Raw genomic sequence first — 26,342 nt, forward strand, 5'->3', positions numbered from 1 at the left:
ATACCTGTAATCACAGGTACTCGGGAGGCTGAGACCGGGGAATTGCTTGAACCTGGGAGTTGGAGGTTGCAGTGAGCCAAGATCGTGTCACTGCACTCCAGCCTGGGCAACAGAGCAAGACTCTGTCTCAAAAAAAAAAAAGAAAAAGAAAAAGAAAAGAAAAGAAGAAGGATGGAAGGAAAGATTATAATGGAGCTGAAAAATTCCTATCACCTACTGACATCATAGACCTGTACTGCAACACAGTACCTTTTCTATGTTTAGATACACACATACTTACCATTGTCTTATAAATGCGAATGGTAGTTAGTACAGTAACATGCTATCCAGGTTTGCAGTCTAGAAGTAGTAGGCTATACCATATAACCTAGGTGTGTAGTAGGCTATACCACCTAGGTTTGTGTAAGTACACTATGTAATGTTCACACAATGATGAAACTGCCCAACTATGCATTTAACAGAATGTACTGCCACTGTTAAGCAATGTATAACTGTATCTGGAAATGTTATAAAAGCTATAAAGGCATCATTATTATATAAATGTTCAGCTAGTTACATACAGAAATATACCACCAGAATACTCTGCTCCTGATTCAATCACTTGTCTAAATGCAGCCAGAGTGATTTTCAAAACACAGATCTAAACATGTCACCCCTTACTTAAATTCTTCAATGGAATCCCATTTTTCTTAGGATACACCAATTCCTTCACGGGCATATGAGAACTTGCATGGCCTCATCCCCATCTATCTATCCAGTCTTTTCCACTCTACCCCAGCATCACTTTTTATTCCCATTTTCCCTGCTGTAGTTAATTCCTACTTAGCATTCAGTTCTCAGCTCAATTGTCACTTGCTAGGGCAAAGTCCCCCATTATGGTTACTCATAGTACCTTGTACTTCTTTGGGGGGAATTTATAACAGTTTTAGTTTTACATCTGTGTGATTAATGTCAAGCTCTATCATAGACTATAAACTCTAAAAAGGCAGAGATTTTACTTTAAAATGTCCTACGTTCTATAATATGTTATTTAATAAAAAATTTACACACATGTATAATTTTAAATACTTCTAGCCTAAGAGATAAATCTAGGAATGGTAGCATTTACCCTCCAAGGCATTACTATTTTACAGCCCATAAAACAGGCCGGGCATGGTGGCTCCACACCTATAATCCCAGCACTTTGGGAGGTCAAGGCAGAAGGACTGCTTGAGCTTCGGAGTTTGAGACCAGCCTGGGCAACATGACAAACCCCGTCTCTACCAAAAAATCCACAAAAATTGGCTGGGCGTGGTGGCATGTGCCTGTAGTCCAACTACATGGGAAGCTGAGGTGGGAGGCTTGCTTGATCCTGGGAGATTGAGGCTGCAATGAGCCATGATCACGCCACTGCACTCCAGCCTATGTGACAGAATGAGAATCTGTCTCAAAAAAAAAAACACACACACACAACTAAAAACCTATAAAACATCTATATTTAAACAGAGACCTAATCATTCTAAGTCACTGTTTATCTGTAAAATATGGATAACCTGAAAGATAAGTTGTCCATAGTAAGTGAAAAACATATATAAAGTTTTCAAAACAATGTATGGTATGTGGTAAGTGCTAAATAACTGGTGCCTATGAATAATAAGTCCCATTTGTAATTAATTCATGTTTCCAAAATGTATTCCCCAAACATTTTTTTTTTAAGATGGAGTCTCGCCCTGTCACCCAGGCTGGAGTGCAGTGGCACAGTCGCAGCTCACTGCAACCTTCGCCTTCCAGGTTTAAGCGATTCTCCTGCCTCAGCTTCCCAAGTAGCTGGGATTACAGGTGCCCGCCACCACAACCAGCTAATTTTTGTATTTTTAGTAGAGACAAGGTTTTGCCATGTTGGCCAGACTAGTCTCGAACTCCTGACCTCAGGTGATCTGCCTGCCTTGGCCTCCCAAAGGCGTGAGCCACTGTGCCCAGCCCCCAAACATTTAATTTGTGTAGTAACACTGAATAATTCTAATGTTCTTTCAAGCTGGTTAAAAAGATTCTGAGGGGATAAAAGAGATTCAAGAGCCTGTTACATCTTTTGTTACAATTTTTAAGGTGATTATATCATTCTTAAGTTTCCCCCCATTATTTACTGTAGCCCAGATTTCCTTATTATTTTTTAAGACATATACAAGCCATTATAAGATGTATTTAAAATGGACAGATACATAAAATTTATCTTAAAATGCATATTTTATTTCAGTAGTCAATGACCATCAATCAAATAAAGGAAAGAAAACTAATTTCTTGAAGAAAGACAAATCTATGGAGTGGTTTACAGGAAGTGAAGAATGAGATGGCCCAACTAAACCAATTTGGAATCATTAACTACAAAATGTCAAACTAACTGCAAGACAAGTGTCAAAATGGGATGTTTAAGCAGTTTTGCTATGTTATACATCTTTTAGTTGTTATTTTCAAAATTATATGTATAAGTTATATAAGTCATAGTAATAGCTAAAAATGCCAATCTATGGAAGCAGTGATTTTCAATATAAAGTTCTATTTTGATATTTTTCCATCTTCAAGTCAGTTACTGTCATCTGGAGTACTCAGTTAAGTTGTGGTTTGACCTTCCTCAACTTGACAAGAAAAGCTAATTTAAGAGAAGAAAAACATAAAGTCATTATATTAATTAAAAGAAAAAACACCATTTAATATGTTCTGAAAACATTACTCACCTGTATGACCAGGTTGCCAGTGTACTGGTCTAGCAACATAGGGAAATGATCCATATGGAAAATCAGAATGCGATTCTTCTGTTGTAAAAAAATATATGTACTATAAGCTACATAAAATATTTTCTATTTTTTTCACAAAACTGTTAAAATATGAGTTACTCTCTTTATTGTAAGTTTTTTCTTTATTTATTTCCTTGCATATGTTTTAGAGCTACTCTGCCAGTTATTATACAGAAACTATTTGTCAATGATTATGTAATAAACATATGATTTTATAACCAAATGGATAAGCCTATATCATAAATCAACTGATACTTGAAAACTTGTTCATGGCCTAAATAATGTGTATATATGACAAAGACCTAAACTCAGTTCTTTCAAGAATTCCAGCAGCATCTTAGAAGTTGCTTTTTGGAATATTAGCTATTTGCCTATCAGGTCCCATTAATAATCAGTGATCTAAATATAAAACATCCTTAATACATTTAAATTATTTCACAAACCAAGCTCCTTGTGACAAGTAAAATATGAATATTATAAAAAGCTCAATTCTTCAAAGGTATCAGAGTTTTAAGTAAAAGGCAGGAAAAGTCATTATTCTGTGCCTTATACATCTTAACAGAATAAATATCACACTTTTCTATAGAAAATTGCTGAGGAATATTTTTATAATCTATTGGTCAGTATACTCAGGAACTCATTCTCCATTCATTACTGCATGCATAAAGTAAAACTGAAGCTCACCATGGTCATCCTCTTGAAACAGCTCACCTTTAACTCCAATTTTCTCTTGAGAATCTAGTTGTACATCTGTGTTGATTTTAGATTCTACTTTTTGAGCTAAAATTCCATTTTTCTGTTTTGCAAGGCAAACCAACCAATCTCTGACAATGACCTCGCTTATCTTTTCACATGAAAGAGCAAGTTCACAGGTGCGAATTCCATCTAAAAGTTCAATAACCTGTGTGATGCTTTCAGAAAAGTGAAAAATTTACATTTCTACTAAAATAATAACATTATATTTATTTAAGTTCCCTATACCTCTTGCCCACATTTAAATACCATAGTTAAATTAAGGCAGGAGAGGGTTTAAATATGCAAGTTAGGAGGCATAAAAAGTACCTTCACAAAATTCTAAGTAAACAAACACAGAGACCATAATTTAACATTACTGTTCACATTATACTTTTAAAACATTTCTTCCAGATTGTCAGAAGAAAATATGCATCTTATATTACTATTTATGTAAAAAATGATTTAAACAGTAATATAGGGTTGGGCGTGGGTCACGCCTGTAATCCCAGCACTTTGGGAGGCTGAGGGGGGCAGATCACTTGAGGTCAGGAGTTCCAGACCAGCCTGGCCAACATGGTGAAACCCTGTCTCCACTAAAATACAAAAATTAGCCGGGTGTGGTGGCGCATACCTGTAATCCCAGCTACTCAGGAGGCTGAGGCAGGAGAATCACTTGAACCCAGGAGGCGGAGGTTGCAGCGAGCTGAGATCATGACACTGCACCCCAGCCTGGGTGACAAAGCGAGACTCTGTCTCAAAAAAAAAAAAAAAAAAAAAAACGAAAAAAGTTTAAAAAAAAAAAACACTAAATAAATATACAGTAATATAAATGAACTTGGGACTTGTCATTTTAAAACAGTTGTATAAGATGCCATATACACTTTATTCAGTTACAAAATGAATATTTTGGCTGGGCGTGGTGGCTCAAGCCTGTAAGCCCAGCACCTTGGGAGACCAGGTGAGCAGATCACCTGAAGTCAGGAGTTCAAGACCAGCCTGGCCAACATGGTGAAACCCCTTCTCTACCAAAAATAGAAAAAATCAGCCGGGCGTGGTGGCGGGCGCCTGTAACCCCAGCTACTTGGGAGGCTGAGGCAGGATAATTGCTTGAACAGGGGAGGTGGAGGTTGCAGTGAGCTGAGATCATACCACTACACTCCAACCTGGGTGACAGAGTTTTTTTCTGTCTCAAAAAAAAAAAAAAAAAAAAAAAAATTTAGTTTGATACTTAAGCAAAAGTGCACTTAAAAGTTACATTACAAAGAAAAACAGTTATATTACTCACTTTACTACATATACAGCACATACACCACCATGCTTAAGATGTGGGTAAAAAACAGGCAAAGTAACATGAGGATTTAACATATCCAAAGCTACCTGTGTGGGGGAAAAAGAGAACTGGATCAGTCTGATTCCGTTTAAATAAAGCATAAGTTTTCTTATTGTGGTGAAATGACACACTTTTGGACAGCAATCAAAGTATTTCATTTTTTAGAAGGTAGTATTATTAACTATCATTTTACCACTCCCAAAAGGGTATGTTAATTATTATACAGTTGGGCAATGTGGCTTCTGCCTGTAATCCCAACACTTTGGGAGGCTGAGGCAAGAGGATCCATTTGAGGCCGAGTTTGAGAACAGCCCAGGCAACATAGCGAGACTCTGACTCTATTGAAAAAAAAAAAAAGTAGCTGGATGCAGTGGCACAAGCCCGTAGTACCAGCTATTCAGGAAGCTGAGGTGGGAGGGTCACTGGAGCCTAGGAGTTCGAGGCTGTAGTGACCTATGACTGTGCCATCATACTCCACCCTGGGCAAGAGTGAGATCCTGTCTCAGGGAAGAAAAAACAATTTGTCATAGTACTTGATGATACTGAAAAATCATAATGATATGTCTTGTACTTTGCATATTAATATGGAAATATTGATTTGGCTATGTATGTATATATGAATATAACCAAAGAAAGATTCCTGTATGCCTGTATTATCAATATTGCCAAGTGTAAAACACGCCATTACAACATGAAAAATTTAAACATTTGAGACAATGTGAATTTCCTTTTTTTTTTTTTGAGACAGGGTCTCGCTCTGTTGACCAGGCTGGAGTACAGTGGCACAATGTCACCTCGCTGCAACTTCCACCTCCTGAACTCAAGCAACCCTCCCACCTCAGCCTCTCGAGTAGCTGAGACTACAGGCAGGCGCCACCATTCTCAGCTAACTTTTTGTATATTATGTAGATACAGGTTTTGCCATGTTGCCCAGGCTGGTCTTGAACTCCTGGATTCAAGCGATCTGCCCGCCTCGGCCTCCCAAAATGCTGGGATTACAGATGTGAACCGCTGCACCTGGCTGACAATGTGAATTTCTATTGCCAAAACTTATAAATTTAAATGCTTTATTTCAGCTTTGGCAACAGAAATTCACATTGTTGGCCAGAGGCAGTGGCTCACGCCTATAATCCCAGCACTTTGGGAGCCCAGGCGGGTGGATCACCTGAGGTCAGGAGTTTGAGAGTAGCCTGGCCAACATGGCAAAACCCTGTCTCTACTGAAAATACAAAAATTAGCCAGGTGTGGTGGTGCACACCTATAGTCCCAGCTACTGGGAAGGCTGAGGCAGGACAATTACTTGAACCCGGGAGGCAGAGGTTGCAGTAAGCCAAGATTAAACCACTGCACTCAAGCCTGGGTGACAGAGTGAGATTCTGTCTCAAAAAAAAAAATCATATCCCTTATTTCCTCTTTATTCTTGTTTCAATTGCAGTATACATGGCTATAGTCACAGAAGATGCCAGTAAGTACAAAGATAAGTGAAAATTTTTCAAATAAAAAATTAATTAAAAACAAAAAATAAATCTGGTCAAAATAGAAAATAAAGTAACATTTACTGTTGTATTAACTCCAGAAAGCTTAGAGATATGCTGGCATATCTATTTACTAAATGATAAAATATTAGATTGTTTGTGTCTTTTAAAAACAGTACTAATCAGTCAAGGGACATCTTATTAATTTATTCACCAAATATTTATTAAGCACTGTCTACATGGCAAACATTTTTCTAAGTGGTAAGGATATAGTTGGAGCTTATAGTCTGTTTCACGGGATCTAATGAAGGGGTAGACATTAAACAAAAATAAGAAAACATATAAATAAATAGGACAGAGGGTGGTGAGTGACATGAAGAAAAACAGTTATAAAGCAGAATAGGCGTGGTAACTCATGCCTGTAATGCCAGCACTTTGGGAAGCCAAGGGAGGAGGATTGCTTGAGCCAGGAGTTCCAGACCAGCATGGGCAACACAGTGAGACCCCGCATTTATAAAAATAAAAAAAATGGCAGGGTGCAGTGGCTCATGCCTGTAATCCCAGCACTTTGCGAGGCCGAGGTGAGCGGATCACCTGAGGTCACGAGTTCAAGACCAGCCTGGCCAACACGGCGAAACCCCGTTTCTACTAAAAATACAAAAATTAGCCAGGTACAGTGGTGCACACCTGTAATCCCAGCTACTTAGGAGGCTGAGGCAGGAGAATAGCTTGAACCCAGGAGGCGGAGTTGCAGTGAGCAGAGATCAGGCCACTGCATTCCAGCCTGGGCGACAGAGCGAGACTCCGTCTCAAAAAAAAAAAAAAAAAAAAAAAAAAAAAAAAACTGCCAGGCGTGGTGGCATGCTCCTGTGGTTCCAGCCACTTGGGAGGCTGAGGAGGGAGGATCACCTGGGCTTGAGAAATCAAGGCTGCAGTGAGCTGTGATTGTGTCACTGCACTCCAGCCTGGGTGACAGGATAAGACCCTATCTCAAAACAAACAAAATAAGCAGAGAAAGAGGGAAAGAAAGGGACAGGTCAGGGAAAGGAGGTGTCATTTTATACATAGACTGGTCAGTGAAGAGACCTGAAGAAAATAAAATTAAGTTTAACCCATGAAAATGTAGGGGAGAAGTGAGCTCCTGGTGGAGGGAACAGCAAATATTTAATACAAACACTCAGGTAGTAGGCTACTTGGGGAGTCTGTTGAGGCCACTGTCACTGCAGTGGAGATAAAAGGGGGCAAGTGGTAAGAGATGACATCGAAGGTGGTGGACACAGATTACATAGAATCATGCAGGCTTTAGCTTTACTCAATTGAGAAGCCACTGAAGAATTTTAAAGATTGACATGATTTGAACTTTTTTAAAAAACTATTTTTGTGTGTGGTAAAATAAACATTGCCATTTTAAGTATACAATTCACTGTCATTAAGTATACTCTGACTCACTTTAAAATCTACATGCAGAAAACACTGAGAATGCAAGGAAGGATGACAGTGGCTTGTAATAGCAAAGAGCAGTGGGTGTGGTAAGAAGTGGTATATATTTTGAAGACAGAGCCAATTAGAATTAGAATTGGCTGTAGGATGTGAGAAAAAGAAAACTGAATCCAAAGTTTTTAGCCTAAGCCACCGAAAGAATGGAGGTGTCATTTACTAATGAGGAAAATGATGAAGATTATGGGAGGAGCAAGCTTGGGGGAAATAAGAATTCAGGTTTGGACATGTATTTAAGATGCCTATTAAACATCCAAGTCAAGGCCAGGCATGGTGGCTCACACCTGTAATCCAAGCAGTTTGGGAGGCCGAGGCGGGTGGATCACCTTAGGTGAGGAGTTCGAGGCCAACCTGGCCAACATGGTGAAACCCTGTCTCTACTAAAGATACAAAAAAATTAGCTGGGCATGGTGGCGGGTGCCTGTAGTCCCAGCTACAAAGGAGGCTGAGACAGGAGAAATGCTTGAACCAGGGACGCAGAGATTGCAGTGAGCCGAGATCACGCCATTGCACTCCAGCCTGGGCAACAGAGTGAGACTCCATCTCAAATAAATAAATAAATAAATAAATATCCAAGTCAAGATTTCAATGACAATCAAGGGTCAACATGATGACATAAATGGGTTCTCAGACTGTAGTTTTACTATATTATTGACAAGGACCAAAGTCAGATAACCCAGAAAACTGCAAATCTTGAATGCTCAATTCTCAGTTAACAGCATTTATCCAGTTACTCAAACCAGAAACTTAAGAGTCATCATTTTCTTTTTTCAAAGCCTAATCAAGAAGCCATCATTTTCTTTACCTTGAATTCTCTTTTGAGACTCTGGGGTTTTGGTGCTTCTGTTTGAATTAAAGTCTCACAAATCTACCTCCAGTGTTTCTGAAATTAATCCCACAGACATTGACTTAGGTCAACACCTCACCATATCTTGTTGAAATATTATAATACCTTTCTGCATAGACTCCCAGCCTCCATTCTTTCTCCAGAACTATTCTAAAACAGAAATCTAGACAGTCTACTCTCCTACTTACAAGATAATGTCCATACTATCCAGCTTGATATATACACAACTTTCTTTATTATCTAGCCCCTCATGACTGCATTTACAGACTCATCTCCTCATACCAAGTTCTACAGCCATGGTGTTTTATACTTCTGAGTCTTTTTAGTAATTGCTCATATGTCTATTTCATTTTATCTTATTTAATTAAATTTTTTTTTTTTGAGATGGAGTCTCATCCTGTCGCCCAGGTTGGAGTACAATGGTGCGATCGTAGCTCACTGCAACCTCCGCCTCCCGGTTTCCAGAGATTCTCTTGCCTCAGCCTCCCGAGTAGCTGGGATTACAGGCATGCGCCACCACACCCAACTAATTTTTTTTTATCTTTAGCAGAGACAGGGTTTCACCATGTTGGCCAGGCTGGTCTCGAACTCCTGACCTCATGATCCGCCCGCCTTGGCCTCCCAAAGTACTGGGATTACAGGCATGAACCACTGCGCCTGGCCAATTTAATTTAATTTTTGAGACAGAGTCTTGCTCTGTCACCTAGGCTAAAGTGCAGTGGCACAATCTCAGCTCACTGCACCCTCTGCCTCCTGGGTTCCAGCGATCCTCCTACCTCAGCCTCCCAAGTAGCTGGGATTACTGGCTTGCACCATCACACCCAGCTAATTTTTATACCTTTAGTAGAGACAGAGTTTCACCATGTTAGCCAGGTTGGTCTCAAACTCCTGACCTCAAGTGATCCACCCATCTCAGCCTCCCAAAGTGCTGGGATTACGGCCATGAACCATCATGCCTGGCCCACAGCTATTTTTTTTTTAATTTTTTAATATTTCTTATTCATTTTTTGTTTTCAAAAGCTCTTTTGAATGTATAATTTTTGTCTTAGCACAGCACACGACACATGGCAGGTTCTTAATAAATGCCTGTTGACTCCAGAAACAAAGTGGTTCAGAAATTCAGAGGAAGGTAATAATCCTCTGGCTAGATGATGAAAGGATATTTCACACAGGAGATGACCTTTAAGCTTTAAAGGGAGAATAGAGTTTAAACAGGCAGAGAAAAGAGGAAAGGAAGAAAATCAAAATGATGAAAAACATAACTAACATTTATTCAGTGCTTACTATGTACCAGGTACTTTACATGAATTCTCTTATTTAATCCTCAACAACTCTATGAAATAGGTACTATTATCATTCCTGTTTAATACATGAGGTAACCGAGGCATGGAAAGATTAAGTGACTTACCCAAGGTTACACTGGCGATTATGGAGCCCGGCAGTGGACCAATCTGAATGGACCCCAAACTTATTTCCCTCTATTCCTTTCCCTTCCTTTTCTCTCCTCAGAAAGAGTCATTGTCCTGAAGTTGGTAACATTCCCAAATTTTATACTTCTACAACATATGTATATAGCTACAAACAATACATGTTGTGTAGTTTTAAATTTTACATGTAGGCGGTCATTTCACATATTCTCTTATAATGCTTTTTCCACCAAACACCAAGTCTTTCAGATTTATTGATGTAGCTAGAGTACATTTATTGTTAGTATTCCATTGTGTCTATTCTCTTTTGATGGTTAAGCTGTTTCCAAAATTTGTTTAATTCTTTTTTTTTTTTTTTTTGAGACGGAGTCTCGCACTCTCGCCCAGGCTGGAGTGCAGTGGCGCCATCTCGGCTCACTGCAAGCTCCGCCTCCCGGGTTCAGGCCATTCTCCTGCCTCAGCCTCCCCAGTAGCTGGGACTACAGGCACCCGCCACCAGGCCCGGCTAATTTTTTGTATTTTTAGTAGAGATGGGGTTTCACCATGTTAGCCAGGATGGTCTTGATCTCCTGGCCTTGTGATCTGCCCGCCTCGGCCTCCCAAAGTGCTGGGATTACAGGTGTGAGCCATTGCGCCCGGCTAATTCTTTTATTAGTCATGCTCTTTTTTCTATTTTTTTTAATGGTTTAACACCTTTTTTATTCATTTAGCATCATTTTGGTTGGCATGTATGGAGTCAGGTTACATAAAGGACTAGAGAAAGGAAGGTTCAGATCAGATCTGGCCACCAGAAGTCTTTGAATGAAAAGCTCCGGGTCAGGTGCCGTGGCTCACGCCTGTAATCCCAGCACTTTGGGAAGCTGAAGCGGGTGGATCGCTTGAGCCCTGGAGTTCGAGACCAGCCTAGGCAACATGGTGAAACCCCATCTCTACTAAAAACACAAAAACTAGCCAGCCATGGTGGCGGGCGCCCGTAATCCCAGCTACTCAGGAGGCTGAGGCACGAGAATCGCTTGAACCCGGGAGGCGGAGGTTGCAGTGAGCCAAGATCATACCACTGTACTCCAGCCTGGGCGAAAGAGCAGGACTCCGTCTCAAAAAAAAAAAAAAAAAAAAAAAAAGAAAAGCTCCGGATTTTTTCAGCAGGAGAATGACAGTATCAGAAATACACATCTATACATACATATTTGTTTATTTCTTTTCTGTTTTTTTTGAGATAGAGTCTTGCTCTGTCTCCCAGGCTGGAGTGCAGTGGCGCAAATCTTGGCTCACTGGAACCTCCGCCTCCCAGGTTCAAGCGATTCTCCTGACTCGGCCTCCCAAGTAGCTGGGATTGTAGGCGCCCACCGCCATGCCTGGCTAATTCTTGTATTTTTCTTTCTTTCTTTCTTTCTTTTTTGAGATGCAGTCTCGCTCTGTCACCCAGGCTGGAGTGCAGTGGCGCGATCTCGGCTCACTGCAAGCTCCGCCTCCCGGGTTCACGCCATTCTCCTGCCTCAGCCTCCCGAGTAGGTGGGACCACAGGCACCCGCCACCACGCCCGGCTAATTTTTTATATTTTTAGTAGAGACGGGGTTTCACCGTGTTAGCCAGGATGGTCTCCATCTCCTGACCTCAGGAGATCCGCCTGCCTCGGCCTCCCAAAGTGCTGGGATTACAGGCGTGAGCCACTGTGCCCTGCCAGAGATTTATGTTTAACATATGCCTTTTGATCTTTGATCAAACACCAACCCTCAAGCAGTACTCTTACCAATGTACAATTTTTAGAAACGTTCTTAAGAAAAGGAAATTATTCATGATCTAGCTTCTACTTAACAGTTCTGTATTATAATTATTTATGAACACCAACTATAATTCTTTGGTCCTAACGGTATATAACTCTCCCCCAGCAGCTGACACCCCCTCTCCTTCTCTATTCCCTCATATTGAGTAATCATCTGGCACTATTATTCAAGAGAGATTCAGCTGAATAAATCTAAAAAAGAGTGTTCTTTTTAGATCAGGAATGGTTCAGCAGGTTTCTACAAAGCTTCAATGATATCATTAAAATCCTTTGTTGTGTTTCATGCTCATCAAGCAAAATTCTGATGACCAATTTAATCTCGCAGGTATTTTTGACATTCCTATGGATGACCTAAACAGAGCTCTTTCCCCCTTATTGAGCTGTAACATGCAAGCCATAAATGAGAAAAAAGAACTGAGGTCTTTCTGTACAGGAAGCTGTGCCACTAAAACTATAGGTTTTAGTTATATCAGAGCTGGAAGCCAGTGCTGATAAAAATCATTTTCATGGCCAGGCACAGTGGCTCATGCCTGTAATCCCAGCACTTTGGGAGACTGAGATGGGCAGATCACCTAAGGTTAGGAGTTCGAGACCAGCCTGGCCAACATGGTGAAACCCCATCTCTACTAAAAATACAAAAATTAGCTGGCCATGGTGGCGTGCACCTGTAATCCCAGGTACTTGGGAGGCTGAGGCAGGAGAATCGCTTGAACCCGGCAGGCGGAGGTTGCAGTGAGCTGAGACTGTACCACTGCACTCCACCCTAAGCAACAGAATGAGACTCTGTTGCCAAAAAAAAAAAAAAAAAAAAAAAAAAAAAAAAAAGATTTTCTCTCCTCTTTGAACTTTGCTTCATTTCTCACCAAAACAGTCCATCCTTCCAGCAGCCAATTAAGGAAAGGAAGAAAGACTCCTAACCAAGGCCTCAGTCCATAGTGTGAAGCTATGAACTGTGAAGTGGCATCACCAAGGAATTCTGAAACTCTTCAGCCAGCAAATACTTCCATGTCCCAGATCTCCACCATGTTTGATCGCAGCTTAATGTATCCTCTCTTGTCATCTATCTTTTTACTTTCATCTTCTCTGCTTCTTTTCCCTAAGTCAACTTCCCAGTGTTTCTCTTCCTCACAATGTCTCTGCTCCACTTTCTGGAGCTTTGTTCATGATAAACACCTCTGTCCTCGACATCTTCAATGAACACACTCCCCTTGATATCCTGACTTCAACTAACTAAAGATGCCTTCTGCCTATTCCCTGTCAAATGGAAGCTACTTATTCCCCCAAATCTCACAGTTCAGGTTAGGTGCCGGGTTCAATATGCTTCCAATGCTGCTTCCAAAGTATGATTCATCCTAGAAATGCTGAGGTTCATGATGCTCAACTAGTCTTTGGTCCTAGCTTTCAGTCATTACCCCACATTCAATGACAACTTCAGCACCCAACTCGGTAACTCAGTATGTCTCTCTGTCCCAAATCCCACCATGAGATTAAAAGGCATGAAACGAAAATATTCTTTCAATCCCTAGAGATAGACATGAAGCAAACGAAGGAAGACCTTTGCCCATACAAAAGAAGCCTGACCCCTATCTTCTTTATAGTCAAAGTAATAACACAGGACCCACGTTAGAAAACTTACTGCGTCAAATGTTAAAGATTTTATGTCTTCGGTTGCTCCTGAAATGTCCTTATGAATAAAATCCACATTGTCTGGCCACTCTTCTACATGACTTAATTTCCATGAATCACGCCAGTGTTTGTAATTCTTCTTAGCCAGATCATGGTGGTCTTTTCGTACCTCAAAACTTATGACTCGTCCTTGTGATCCAACTTAAGTAAAAAATAATTTGATATTTCATAATATTAATCAGTTTATTAAAAAGTGTCAAAAATGTATTTTGCAAAGGTACTACATGTATGTGAAAAAAATAATTCAAATAGTTCAATGTTACAAGTCTGATCTCCTATCCCTGATCTCCAATTAATCTCCCTCCCTCTTCAGAGGCAACCACATTACCAGCTATTTACCTTTCCCATGATAGTCACTGCCTATACAAGCATGCCAAGTATCTCTCTGTGTTTTTAATACACACTGTGGTGTATTATACACACTGTCCTGTACCTTCCTTCTTACTTACCAATGTCATTTCAGTGCTTCTAGATGTACTGCATTCTTTTTTAACAGGCATTATATTCACTGTATGGCTACGATGAACATTTAGCTTGTTTCTAGTCATATGCTAATATAAACAATACTGCAATGAAAATTCTTATACCTAAGTCTTTGTATCAAGCCAGTATATCTCTACAGGATAAAGTCCTAAAAATGGAATTGCTGGCTCAAGGGGTATGTGAATTTATTCACATAATATTACATTGTCCTCCACGTAAGTGGTGTCAACTTATATGCCAACCAGCAATGTATTAGAATACCTGTATCTCAGGCCGGTCGCAGTGGCTCCCGCCTGTAATCCCAGCACTTTGGGAGGCCGAGGCGGGCAGATCATGAGGTCAGGTGATTGAGACCATCCTGGCTAACACGGTGAAACCCTGTCTCTACTAAAAAAAATACAAAAAATTAGCCAGGTGTTGTGGCACATGCCTGTAGTCCCAGCTACTCGGGAGACTGAGGCAGGAGAAAGGCGTGAACCTGGGAGGCAGAGATTGCAGTGAGCCAAGATGCGCCACTGCACTCCAGCCTGGGTGACAGTGCAAGACTCCGTCTCAAAAAAAAAAAAAAAAAAAAAAAGAATACCTGTATCTCCATACTCTCCCTAAGTTATTGAACTTTTTATCTGTATCAATCTAAAAAGTGAATAAAGTTTATCATTTTTAATGTAGATTTTTGAGTTTGGTTTTTTTTTTTTTTTTTGAGACAAGATCTCACTCTGTCACGCAGGTTGGAGTGCGGTGGTGCAATCACAGCTCACGGCAACCCCCACCTCCCAGGCTCAAGCGATCTTCCCACCTCAGCCTCCTGAACAGCTGGGACGACAGGTGTGTGCCACCACACCCAGCTAACTTTTTGTATTTTTGGTAGAGACAGGGTTTCGCCATGTTGCCAGACTGGTCTCAAACTCGTGAGCTCAAGCAATCTGCCTGCCTCGGCCTCCCAAAGTGCTGGGATTACAGACGTGAGCCACCATGCTCAGCCTTTTAATGTAATTTTAACTTGCATTTCTTTTATTATGGATGAGGTTGAGTCTTTCATATATTTAAAAGGTATTTGTGGCCGGATACAGTGGCTCGCCACAGTAATCCCAGCACTTTGGGAGGGCAAGGCAGGCAGATCACTTGAGGTCAGGAGTTCGAGACCAGCCTGGCCAACATGGTGAAACCCTGTCTCTACCAAAAAATAAAAAAAAAAAATTAAAGGTATTTGTATTTGTGTGTGTGTGTGTGTGTGTGTGTGTGTGTGTGTATGTGAAGAACTTTTAAACTAATTAGCACAGTAATACTGCAATTCCAGAGAGGAGTACTACATTTTAACTTAAGGCAATTAACTTTCCACCCACCTCTATCTGAAGTGATTTGATACCATTTGGAGATTATCCCAGATCAATCAGTTTACAGTTTACTAATGAAGTTTAAATTCCAAGGTATCTTTTGAAATGTAACTCCAACTGCAAGTTATCAGGTTCTCAGGAGATAAAAATTAATTTTAATAGTAACATAAGCTGGGCGTGGTGCCCCATGCCTGTAATCCCAGCACTTTGGGAGGCTTAGGCAAGATTGCTTGAGGCCAGGAGTTCAAGACCAGCCTGGGCAACAGTGAGACCCAGTCTCTACAAAAACTTTAAAAATTAGCCAGCTTTGGTGGTATGTGCCTATTGTCCCACCTACTTGGGAGGCTGGGACGACAGGATCACTTGAGTTCCGAGGGTCAAGGCTGTAGTGAGCCACGATCATACCACTGCATTCCAAACTGGGGAACAGAGTGAGAACCCGCCTCAAAAAAAAAAAAAAAGTAACATAAACAACTGGAAAAGAAAATATGGAGAAAAATATCCATCACATAGGTAAATAGCAATAAGTTCTTGCACATTTATAGTTTAGGATTATTCAAGCCATGACACTCTTCTGATACTATATATTTTAGAAATATAGGCACTTATCTGTTCTCACCAATTTTTATAAATCCACTTTGTCAAATGAAACCGTGCAGTTAGGAATTTGTCATAGATGATGAGAAAATGACTGCCTTTAACTATGTACAGAAAAGTCAAACAAAAGATTGATTGAGGAGCCCAGAATGAATTTACCGGCTTAGTATAATCTAGATAATATTCATATGTGAAGACATTAGGTCAAAGAACAAAAGGTGTGAGTTTAATTTCAGCATATTTCTATCTGTAATCTTTATAAAATCTACTCAAAGAAAGTACTGTGACTATTCAGCAGTCTAGTATTATGTAGGGAAGAGAACACTGCACAGACAGACCACCCAAAGCAACCCTGACACTCAGAGAAATTAGGTAGGCAAAGAGGTACTAATCAACTAGCATAAAAGTAACTAGAAATTAAGTGGTAGGAACATGAAAAAATATATATGTTTAATATACACCTCTTGATTTTTGATCAGACACCCACCTTCAAGCAGTACTTTTACCAACTGACAATTTTTAGAGACTTTCTGGAAAAAAAAAAGATAATTCTTCATGATCTAGCTTTTTACTTAATAGCTCTGTACTATGATTAATTTCTTTATGAACACCTACTATAATTCTTTGGCCCTAACGATATATAACTCTCCCCCCAACAGCTGACAACGTCCTTCCATATTCCCTCAGGCTAAGTATTCACCTGGCACTAGTATTCAACAATAACATGACAAGTACACAAGGAGGTTCCAAGCAGCACTATTTGTAATATCCAACTCAAATGTCTATCAACAGTAAAATAGGTAAATTGTGATTTAAATAGAGAGTATTATACAGCAACTAAAATGAAAGAACTACTGCTGCATGCAATGAGTGAATCTCACAAACATAATAATGAATGAGAGTAGCCAGATACAAAGGAGCACATACTGTATGATTCCATTTTATATAAGTTCGAAGGAGGCAAAACTAATCAGTGATGATAAAAGTCACAATAGTGGTTTCCTTTGGTGATGATAAGGACTGGGAGGGGACATGAGGAGGCATCTGTGGGGCAGGGACACTCCCTACCTTGATCTCGGTAATAAGTACATGAGTGGTCACTATACAAAGATTCATTGAGATATACACTTATGATCTGCACACTTTTCTGTAGCCATATTATATTCCAATAAAAAGTATACTTAAGAAAAAAGAAGCAGCATTAGAGAGCATGGAGAAAGTAAAACAAAGCAAAGAAAATTGAGGGAGGATTAGAAAGAGACTGACTGGAATAAATGTACAGAATGGAAAGAAAAATAGTTGCTTACTTTCAGATTCTAGGAGAATGCTACCTCAATGTTAGGTATTTTCCCAAATATCTTTATACCTTTCTGTTATTATGAACAAATTGAATGTTTTCTTTGTTACTGAGATCCAGCTCAGTCCAATCTCTTACCTGCTTTGGATAAAAATAAGCTCATTCCACCAGAGCCTGAGCCAGCTTCCAAAACAGTATCACCTGGGTTGATATCCATCATTGAGAGAATCATATTAATATCCTATGATTGAAAACAGTATGGGTGACTCAGCGACCAATAAATATGTACTAAGCACCTAGTCTTATCTTACATTGTTGGGTGTGCAGAAGAAGGGAGTGAAAAAACGAATCAGACTCTGGACCTGCCTTCAGTTTATATTTCACTTGATGAAATAAAAGAGATCCAAGAATCAATTAACAAATAAGGCAACACTTCAGAATAATACCAAAATTACAGACAATAAGTTCATAGAGTAGCAGGATGGCCTAGTTTAAAGACAAAGAGTAGACAATTTATGGGAACAATCACAAGGTAAAAACAGCTTTAAACAAAGCAGAGGTAGAATAAATCCAGTTTGTTATCTCAGGAGAGATAGGCAGAGAATTAAATGCCAGTATGAGGCATTAGAACTCAGCCTGATAAGCAACTAGGGTGTGTCACTGAGGTGATATAAATGGCATTTTATGAGGATTAATCTGGCAGAAGAATACAGGATCTACTGGAGAAAAATCAAGAGGCAGGAAGACCAGTTAGGAATTTACTATATAATCTCTGCATAAAATGATGAATTTCCTTTTTTTTTTTTTTTTTTTTTTTGGGAGACGAAGTCTCACTCTTGTCCCCCAGGCTGGAGTGTGATGGCACGATCTTGGCTCACTGCAACCTCCGCCTCCCGGGTTCAAGCGATTCTCCTGCCTCAGCCTCCCGAATAGCTGGGATTACAGGTGCCTGCCACCATGCCCGGCTAATTTTTGTATTTTTAGTGGAGATGGGGTTTCACCACGTTGGCCAGGCTGGTCTTGAACTCCTGACCTCAGGTGATCCGCTCGCCTCAGCCTCCCACAGTGCTGGGATTACAGGTGTGAGCCAGTGTGCCCAGCTCAAAATGATGAACTTCTTATTTTTGGGGGGACAGAGTCTCGCTCTGTCACCCAGGCTGGAGTGCAGTGGTACAATCTTGGCTCACTGCAAGCTCCGCCTCCTGGGTTCAAGCGATTCTCCTGCTTCAGCCTCCCAAGTAGCTGGGATTACAGGCACCCACCACCACACCCAGCTAATTTTTTGTATTTTTAGTAGAGATGGGGTTTCACCATGTTGGCCAGGCTGGTCTCAAACTCCTGATTTCAGGTGATCTGCCCGCCTCGGCCTCCTAAAGTGCTGGGATTACAGGTGTGAGCCAACGTGCCTGGCCAAATGATGAACTTCTAATTTAGAATTAAGATACTATATAACAGCGGTCCCCAACCTTTTGGGCACTAGGGACCCGTTTCGTGGAAGACAGTTTTTCCACAGACTGGGGAGAGGGGGATGGTTTTGGGATGAAATTGTTCCACCTCAGATCATCAGGCATTAGTTAGTTTCTTATAAGGAGCATGCAACCTAGATCTGGTGCATGCACAGTTCACAAGAGTTTGCACTCCTATGAGAATCTAATGCCATGGCTGATCTGACAAGAGATGGAGCTCAGGCAGTAATGCTCACTACCCACCGCTAACCTGCTGTGTGGCCCGGTTCCCTGTTACAGGCCACACACTGGTACCAGTCCTCAGCCTGGGGGTAGGGGAGCCCTGCTATATAAGAAAAAAAAGAGACTATGCTATTACTAGATTGGAGGACCCACTTGCCAAACATATAATTGGAATTGTTTTTGTTAACACAAATATTACGGATGATATTAATAAAAACTGTTTTTTTAAATTTAGTAAACAAATTTTCTTGGTGACAGGGTCTCTGTCACTCAGACTGGAGTGTAGTAGTGCAATAGTAGCTCACGGCAGCCTCGAACTTCTGGGCTCAAGCAATCCTCCTACCTCAGCCTCCAAAGTAGCTGGGACCACAGGCATGTACCACCATGCCCAACTAATTTTTTTTTTATTTTTTATAAAGATGGGGTCCTGCTATGTTGGCCAGGTTAGTCTTGAACTCCTAGCCTCCAGCAATCCTCCTGCCTTGGCCTCACAAAGCACTGAGATTACAGGTGTGAGTGACGGCACCTGCCCCCTCACTTTTTTTTTGAGATAGGATCTTACACTGTTGCCCAGGCTGGAGTGCAGTGGCAAGATCATGGCTCGCTGCAGCCTCAAACTCCTGGGCTCAAACAATCCTCCCATCTCAGCCTCCTGCGTAGCTGGGACCACAAGTGTGTGCCAGCATACCTGGCTAATTTTTTATTTTTTGTAGAGACAAGGTCTCCCTATGTTGCCCCGGCTGGTCTCAAACTTCTGGGCTCAAATGATCCTCCTGCCTCAGCCTCCCAAAATATTGAGATTACAAGTGTGAGCCACTGCACTCTGCCTCTGGTCATATTTTTAATACTAAGATGGAATTATGTAATTCTAACAGGGAGATCAGTTTTTAAACATCAGTGAAGGTATTCCCTCAAGCATTTCAAAGTTGTAGAAGTTGAAGTAAAACTATCTCCAGCCATTACTTGGAAGCTATAAAGAGAAGTCAACACCTAACAAATTTAGTACTTAAATTCCTCCTTAGAGTGGAACAATGTGACTTTTATCTGTAACAAATGGAAAGGCAGAAAGTATACTAAATATGCATATTTATAACTTCATGAAATGTAACTAATCTCTCCTGATTTTGTCTAATGGGGAGAAAGGAGACACGGGGAAGCAAGATAAAATTACGAAAGTCTTTTAGTTTTCTTCAAGAGCTTATGATACCATGGCCAGGAGCGGTCGTTCTCACCTGTAATCCCAGCACCCTCAAGGGAGGATCCCTTGAGCCTAGAGAAGTTTGAGACCAGTCTGGGCAAGTTAGGGCGACCCCAACTCTACAAAAAAAATTTTTGATTAGCTAGGCATAGTGGCATGCACCTGTGGTCCCAGCTACTCAGGAGGTTGAGGTGCGAGGATTGTTGGAGCCTGGGAGGTTCAGGCTACAGTAAGAGGTGATTGAGCCACTGCACTCTAGCCTGGGTGACATAGCAAGACCTTGTCTTTAAACAAAAAAAGCTTATTATACCTCAGTAGCCTAAGTTTCTGAGGAAAGTTTTTTTAGTCCCTGGGTAGACCGTTTAAAATACAGACTGGATTCCTACTAAGAACCTTCTAATGGTCCTTCACTACAAATGGAATAAAATACTCAAACCACACCTCATACGGGGTCCCTCATCTGACCCATTGAGGCCACAACAGAAACTCTGCAGCATTCCTCCCTTTGCAAGAACAATTCTCTTCCTAGATCTGTTTACAAGGCAAGCTCTTCCTTATTTAGGTTTCCTATCAAGTGTACCTCCTTGGAGACCATCTCTCCTCACCTGACATAAAGTATGCTCATACCCCAGGTCACCCAAAACAATGTCATTGTTAATATATTTGTCTTCATGACACTTAACACTACTGGAAATGACCTTATTCTTTCATTTACTTGTTTGTTCTTTGTCACCCCTTCTAGAATGTAAGGTCTATGTTGAGGGTGAGGACTGCAGTTCAACACTATACTTCCCTAAACAGTGCCTTGAGTATGGAAGGCAGTCAATTTGCTGAATAAATAACGAATGAATCCTGATCTGGAGAAAGGAGGAGGAGTTGTGTTACACAGGAACATTCTACTCAAGGACTGTGACTAAGGATTGAAATAATCTGCTAGCAATAGATGATTAGCATAAGCTTCAAACTAGGGCTGGGCGCGGTGGCTCCCGCCTGTAATCCCAGCACTGGGAGGCCGAGGTGGGCGGATCACTTGAGGCCACGAGTTGAAGACCAGCCTGGGCAATAAGGCGAAACCCCGTCTCTACAAAAATTAGCCCGGGGTGGTGGTGCATGCCTGTAGTCCCAGGTACTCAGGAGGCTGTGGTGGGAGAATCGCTTGAACCCGGGAGGCAGAGGTTGCAGGGAGCCAAGATCGCAACACTGCACTCCAGCCTGGATGACAGAGTGAGAACTTGTCTTAAAAAAAAGACTGAAACTAGGCTTTAGGCAGTTAACTTTTTAATAAAGAATAGTCATTTTATGTTTGGTGTTGAATGTTAGCTATTGTAATATAAAACTCTATTTCTTCCCTAAAAGGGGAAAAGCACCGTAATGTACCTATTGTTAATATACTCTTGTAACATGATTATTGAATATTAAAATATCATCATAGTAGTACTAAAAAATTGTTCCCTAAGAGTTCAACATTCTCTTGAGTCCTGAAGTTATAAACTTAAGAGTAATGGGGAACAAAATTAGTACTTATTATGTACGTAGTGAGTTCACATCACCCTAACAGAAAGTTGAGCTATTATCCACATTTTACAAATAAGGGACTCGAGACTCCTAAGTTAAAATTAAAATCTAGCCGTTCCCTAATGCTAATTTTCATCATGATATGTAAAAGTTATAACCATTGGTTTATTTTAAAAGCCTGAGTACAATAAAAAATCCAAACGTTCTGAGATGTCTTTGAATACATTAATCAGGACTGAGTACTGCATCTGTCTTTGCCCCTCCTGAAACCAATACACACCTTATCTCCATCGCATTACCTTTGGGAATGTTATGGCAGTCCCTCTTTTCATCAATACTACATAGTCTTCCAAGGCTGGCCTCCTCAGCATGTACTGCTTACCGAAGGAACTCCTCAGTATCTGGCCGGGGAACTTCCCCACGATCTTGCCGAACGGGACTGCCCCCCAGTTACTATTTAAGAGTCCGAAGTTGTTCAACCTAAATAATTTCTTAAATTTTGTTTCTCCCTCCCCAGTCTCAGCTAAAATCAGTTCCCCAGCCTGAAAGGGTCTCTCTCTGGAAGTTGAACAAGAAGGGGAGACGTGACGCTCTTCGACCTCGGTAGCGGACTGGGCCTGCGAGAGCATCGAAGGATCCTCGGATCCCTGGTGTGTGGGACCGCACCGGCCCTGGTCTCCGCTCGAGTCCTCGAGCTCTCGAGGGGATGACTCTTCCCGCAGCGTCGGCAGTCTGAGGTTTTCCAGTGACGAAAGACATCCAGTCCCAATGTCCGAGATGCTCAGAGGGAGAGATGGGCAAGACTCTGCTCCTGGGGCTTTCCTTTGTGCCGCCTCGTGCTCTCTTTCTCCATCTCGCAGGTCTCTAGGCGAGGACCTGCAACACAGTGACCGAGCTCCCTCGAAGGGCTCCTGCCCCAGGCCGTGCAGGAATGAATTGGTTCCGAGCCCCTGCCGCAGGCACAGCAAGACAGGACCGCGGCACCATGCCATTAGCATAGTGTTTCGCGAAGGCGCCGTCGCAGACGAGTGACGCAAGCCTAGCGCGACCCCTTCTTTCCCAGTCGCGCGCATGGCGCAGCAGCCCGATGGCTCTGCAGCTGCGTGGGGCTCTACAGCTCCGCGACTGCGCCTGCGTCGGGGAGGGGGCGGTGCGCTAGGTCAAGCTAGGGCGCGGGAGCAGCGGAGTCCTGGTTGAGTGACCATCCAAGGAATATGTCCTCGCGCGCGGCCGCCGTTTTCCTTTTCGGAATGTGGGTAAAGAATTTACCGCTAACAGACGACCTCCAGGTTCGCTCTTGGACAGCAAGATTGAGAGACAAAACTTAACAAAGCGCTGTGCAAACTGAAATCCCAGGCTTAGCTCGCTTGTGTCTTGAACACGGAAGTCACCTAGTCACCCACAAGATGTATGAGTACAGCTAACCCCCAGATGCATTTGACAGACGGCGTGGGACGCGCCACTTGCTGATTGGCTCTCCTTTCCCAGTTGACCGCGACATCCCCCAGCCCCAACTCCCTTTTGATGGGGCTGTGACCACCTGCCGGTCCCCTCACCCACCCCTCACGCCCGGAGAGTCCGAGGTTGATTCGAGTACTCACTATGTGCTTATGTAACACATGTTTTCATTATTAAAATATAACTAGTTTACCCTCCCAAAACGAAATAGAAGTGTCTTAAAATGGAAACAGGTATCTTTGGAGGCCAGAGTTATTTAGCGTTAAATATCACTAGCCTCCCAGCATTTTGGGAAGCCGACCGAGGCAAGCGGCTCATTTGAGGTCAGGAGTTCGGGACCAGCCTGGCAAATGTGGTGAAACCCCGTCTCTACTAAAAATACAAAAATTAGCTGGGCGTGGAGGCACGCACCTGTAATCCCAGCTACTCGGGAGGCTGAGGCAGGAGAAGCGCTTGAACCCGGGAGGCAGACGTTGCAGTGAGCTGAGATCTCGGCACTGCACTCCAGCCTGGGCGACTGAGCAAAACTCCTCTCGGGGGAAAAAAATTAGTCGGGCGCGATGGTGCACGCCTGTAATACCAGCTACAAGGGAGGCTGAGGCATGAGAATAGCTTGAACCCAGGAGGCGGAGGTTGCAGCGGGCCAAGATCGAGCTACCACTGCACTCCAGCCTGCGCGACACAGCAAAACTCTGTCTCAAAAAAAAAAGAAAAATCGCTAGCCTCTTTGCTGGATATTAGTTGACTGGGCAAAAGTTTATTGAGAGTCTGGCAATACGAGGCACGTTAGACACTCATTTAAGTTTCCAACAATTCTGTGTTAGAAACAAATCCATTTTATGAGTAAAAGAACTGGCCCAGGGAGATTAAATAATTTGGGGAAACCAGGAGTGGTGGCTCACACCTGTAACCCCAACACTTTGGGAGACCCAGGCCAGAGGATTGCTTGAGCCCAGGATTTCAAGACCCACGTGCAACATAATAATAATAAGTTGGTCAAGATGCATAGCTGACAAGTGGCATTGCAGAGTTTCCTATTTAGTCAGTCTGGTTCAGCAGCCCATGCTCTTTGTACTGTAACACCGTTTGGAAAGACTGGTCAACAGCACAGTTGAACTTAAAGTCCAAGTATATTCAAAGGGCTGTGAAGTCAATGTGAATTCTGTTTAAATTTGATGAAATAAATCTTGTTATTCTTTTTTTTTTTTTTTATTTGAGACAGAGTCTTGCTCTTGTTGCCCAGGCTGGAGTGCAATGACACGATCTTGGCTCACTGCAACCTCTGCCTCCTGGGTTCAAGCGATTCTCCTGCCTCAGCCTCCCGAGTAGCTGGGGTTACAGGCACCTGCCACCATGCCAGGCTAATTTTTGTATTTTTAGTAGAGACTCGGTTTCACCATGTTGGCCAGGCTGGTCTCGAACTCCTGACCTCATGATCCACCCGCCTCGGCCTCCCAAAGTGCTGGGATTACAGGCATGAGCCACCGCGCCTGGCCGTTATTACTTTCTAAGACATAAATTAATACTTTCTAATCAGTACTTTCTAGGACATCAGCCACCATAAACTCCATCAACAGGATTTCTCCCTTCTTTTTTTCCTTTTTTTTTCTTTGTGAGACAGAGTCTCACTCTCGCCCAGGCTGGAGTGCAGTTGTATGATCTCGGCTCACTGCAATGTCTGCCTCCCAGGTTCAAGCAATTCTCCTGCCTCAGCCTCCCAGATAGCTGGGATTACAGGTGTGCACCACCATACCCAGCTAATTTTTGTATTTTTAGTAGAGACGGGGTTTCGCCATGTTGGCCACGCTGGTTTGAACTCTTGACCTCAGGTGATCCACCCACCTCAGTCTCCCAAAGAGCTGGAATTACAGCCATGAGCCACTGCACCCAGCCAAATTTCTCCCTTCTAATTCTAAAAATGAATAAAGAAACTGCTCTCTCCACACCCCAACTGCGTGTCTCACTTTGTGTAGTTTGCTTTTTAGGAAAAGTTATGACCAATAGTTTCTGGAGTCGTAGGCTTTTCTCACTACTTTTTCTTGTGATAGGCTTTCTAAGACAAAAACTCATTTTTGGTTATAAAATTCTTGAAATTAAGGAGATTATCATTGCCAAACATGGGTCTGAGCCGGAACCTCCTGAACTCTAAGCCCTATGGTGGTTTTAAAAGTTATCATACCTACTTTATTATTTCTTGAGTATTATCAAATGATACTTGGCTGTTATTTCAGAATAAGCAGGAATTGGAAAAAAAGAAAATACACTAACAAAATATGGGAAGTAAATTTACATATCTTTGATTTTTAAAACAAATTGTAAATGGAAAATGGCATCACTTTCTTTCCATTGTTTAAATAACAGCCACAATGTTATACGTATTTTGTTTTATACACATCTAATGAAATACATTAGTACATTTTGGAAAATAATATTATTTATTCATGATCTTTCAGAGCATTGAAATTCTTAAAAAAGAAGTCACTATGTGGGCCTTTCTATTTCTGGCTATCCTTTACTTCTGCTTTCCCTATGAAATTGTCAGCCTGCACTCTGAAACTATTATCTTGATGATGAATTTGTGATACATCGTCAACTTATCATGTTTACTTACTTAATTTATTTACTGAGACGGAACTTTGCTCTTGTCACCCAGTCTGGAGTACAATAGCACGATCTCAGCTCACTGCAACCTCTGCCTCCTGGGTTCAGGTGATTCTCCTGCCTCAGCCTCCTGAGTAGCTAGGATTACAGGCCTGTGCCACCACGCCTGGCTAATTTTTTGTATTTTTAGTAGAGACTGTGTTTCACCATGTTGGCCAGGCTGGTCTTGAACTCTTGACCTCAGGTGATCCACCCACCTCGGCCTCCCAAAATGCTGGGATTACAGGCGTAAGCTACCGCGCCCAGCCCATGTTTACATTATAAGGCTAAGAAAAATACTGTTTTCTAGTGACATTTAGTTAAGCATTTACTTTAAAATCTGAATAGTTCTCAATAAATACCATGGCTGATGGCTGGCATTTTAAAATCTCCAAACAGGCAACCAGTTCTAGTTCCACAGGTGATCTCCTCCAGCTCTTTGCACATGCTTCTTCACTCTATTTTGTGTAGTTTTCCCTTGTCCTCCAGCTATCAACCTCACAGTACCACTGGAATGGTGGCTTTGTACCAATCCCAAAAGACCTAGAGTAGTGCCTTTCACTTCTGCTCCCAGTGGGTCC

General features: G+C 41.8%; 2 protein-coding genes across 13 annotated transcripts in view, besides 5 other annotated features; one reads left to right on the forward strand and one right to left on the reverse strand.

The window, feature by feature from the left end:
* Positions 1–2,994, forward strand: part of SPDYA (speedy/RINGO cell cycle regulator family member A) — a 39,777-nt gene extending 36,783 nt beyond the window's left edge. For both annotated transcript variants that reach the window (NM_182756.4, NM_001142634.2), the window contains one exon: positions 2,234–2,994. In NM_182756.4, coding sequence (NP_877433.2) covers positions 2,234–2,325 — 92 coding nt within the window. In that variant the 3' untranslated portion in view covers positions 2,326–2,994. The remainder of the gene's footprint in view (positions 1–2,233) is intronic.
* Positions 2,205–22,693, reverse strand: TRMT61B (tRNA methyltransferase 61B). 11 transcript variants are annotated; one of them, XM_005264393.4, is made up of 7 exons: positions 21,963–22,693; positions 17,401–17,503; positions 13,502–13,692; positions 4,792–4,883; positions 3,483–3,682; positions 2,712–2,789; positions 2,205–2,626 (listed from the first exon to the last, which is right to left on the reverse strand). In XM_005264393.4, exons 1-7 carry the CDS (start codon positions 22,659–22,661, stop codon positions 2,583–2,585), a joined length of 1,407 nt encoding a protein of 468 aa, XP_005264450.1. In that variant the 5' UTR covers positions 22,662–22,693; the 3' UTR covers positions 2,205–2,582. The 11 variants fall into 11 exon arrangements, 10 of the variants coding, with proteins under 10 accessions (XP_005264450.1, NP_060380.3, XP_016859892.1 ...); NM_017910.4 differs by having other exon boundaries at positions 3,456–3,682; XM_017004403.2 differs by having other exon boundaries at positions 3,456–3,682; positions 21,944–22,068.
* Positions 20,687–21,202: an enhancer, noted in NCBI's record as "H3K4me1 hESC enhancer chr2:29091169-29091684 (GRCh37/hg19 assembly coordinates)". NCBI's record gives its function as "activates a minimal SCP1, AML or CMV promoter by ChIP-STARR-seq in primed H9 embryonic stem cells {active_cell/tissue: H9 hESC(primed)}" and the evidence as "EXISTENCE:reporter gene assay evidence [ECO:0000049][PMID:30033119]".
* Positions 21,203–21,717: an enhancer, noted in NCBI's record as "H3K4me1 hESC enhancer chr2:29091685-29092199 (GRCh37/hg19 assembly coordinates)". NCBI's record gives its function as "activates a minimal SCP1, AML or CMV promoter by ChIP-STARR-seq in primed H9 embryonic stem cells {active_cell/tissue: H9 hESC(primed)}" and the evidence as "EXISTENCE:reporter gene assay evidence [ECO:0000049][PMID:30033119]".
* Positions 22,347–22,871: an enhancer, noted in NCBI's record as "H3K27ac hESC enhancer chr2:29092829-29093353 (GRCh37/hg19 assembly coordinates)". NCBI's record gives its function as "activates a minimal SCP1, AML or CMV promoter by ChIP-STARR-seq in primed H9 embryonic stem cells {active_cell/tissue: H9 hESC(primed)}" and the evidence as "EXISTENCE:reporter gene assay evidence [ECO:0000049][PMID:30033119]".
* Positions 22,486–22,655: an enhancer, noted in NCBI's record as "active region_15526". NCBI's record gives its function as "activates an Ori minimal core promoter by ATAC-STARR-seq in GM12878 lymphoblastoid cells {active_cell/tissue: GM12878}" and the evidence as "EXISTENCE:reporter gene assay evidence [ECO:0000049][PMID:35858748]".
* Positions 22,886–23,035: an enhancer, noted in NCBI's record as "active region_15527". NCBI's record gives its function as "activates an Ori minimal core promoter by ATAC-STARR-seq in GM12878 lymphoblastoid cells {active_cell/tissue: GM12878}" and the evidence as "EXISTENCE:reporter gene assay evidence [ECO:0000049][PMID:35858748]".

This window comes from Homo sapiens, chromosome 2 (assembly GCF_000001405.40).
Source record: "Homo sapiens chromosome 2, GRCh38.p14 Primary Assembly".
Classification (NCBI taxonomy): Eukaryota; Metazoa; Chordata; class Mammalia; order Primates; family Hominidae; genus Homo; species Homo sapiens.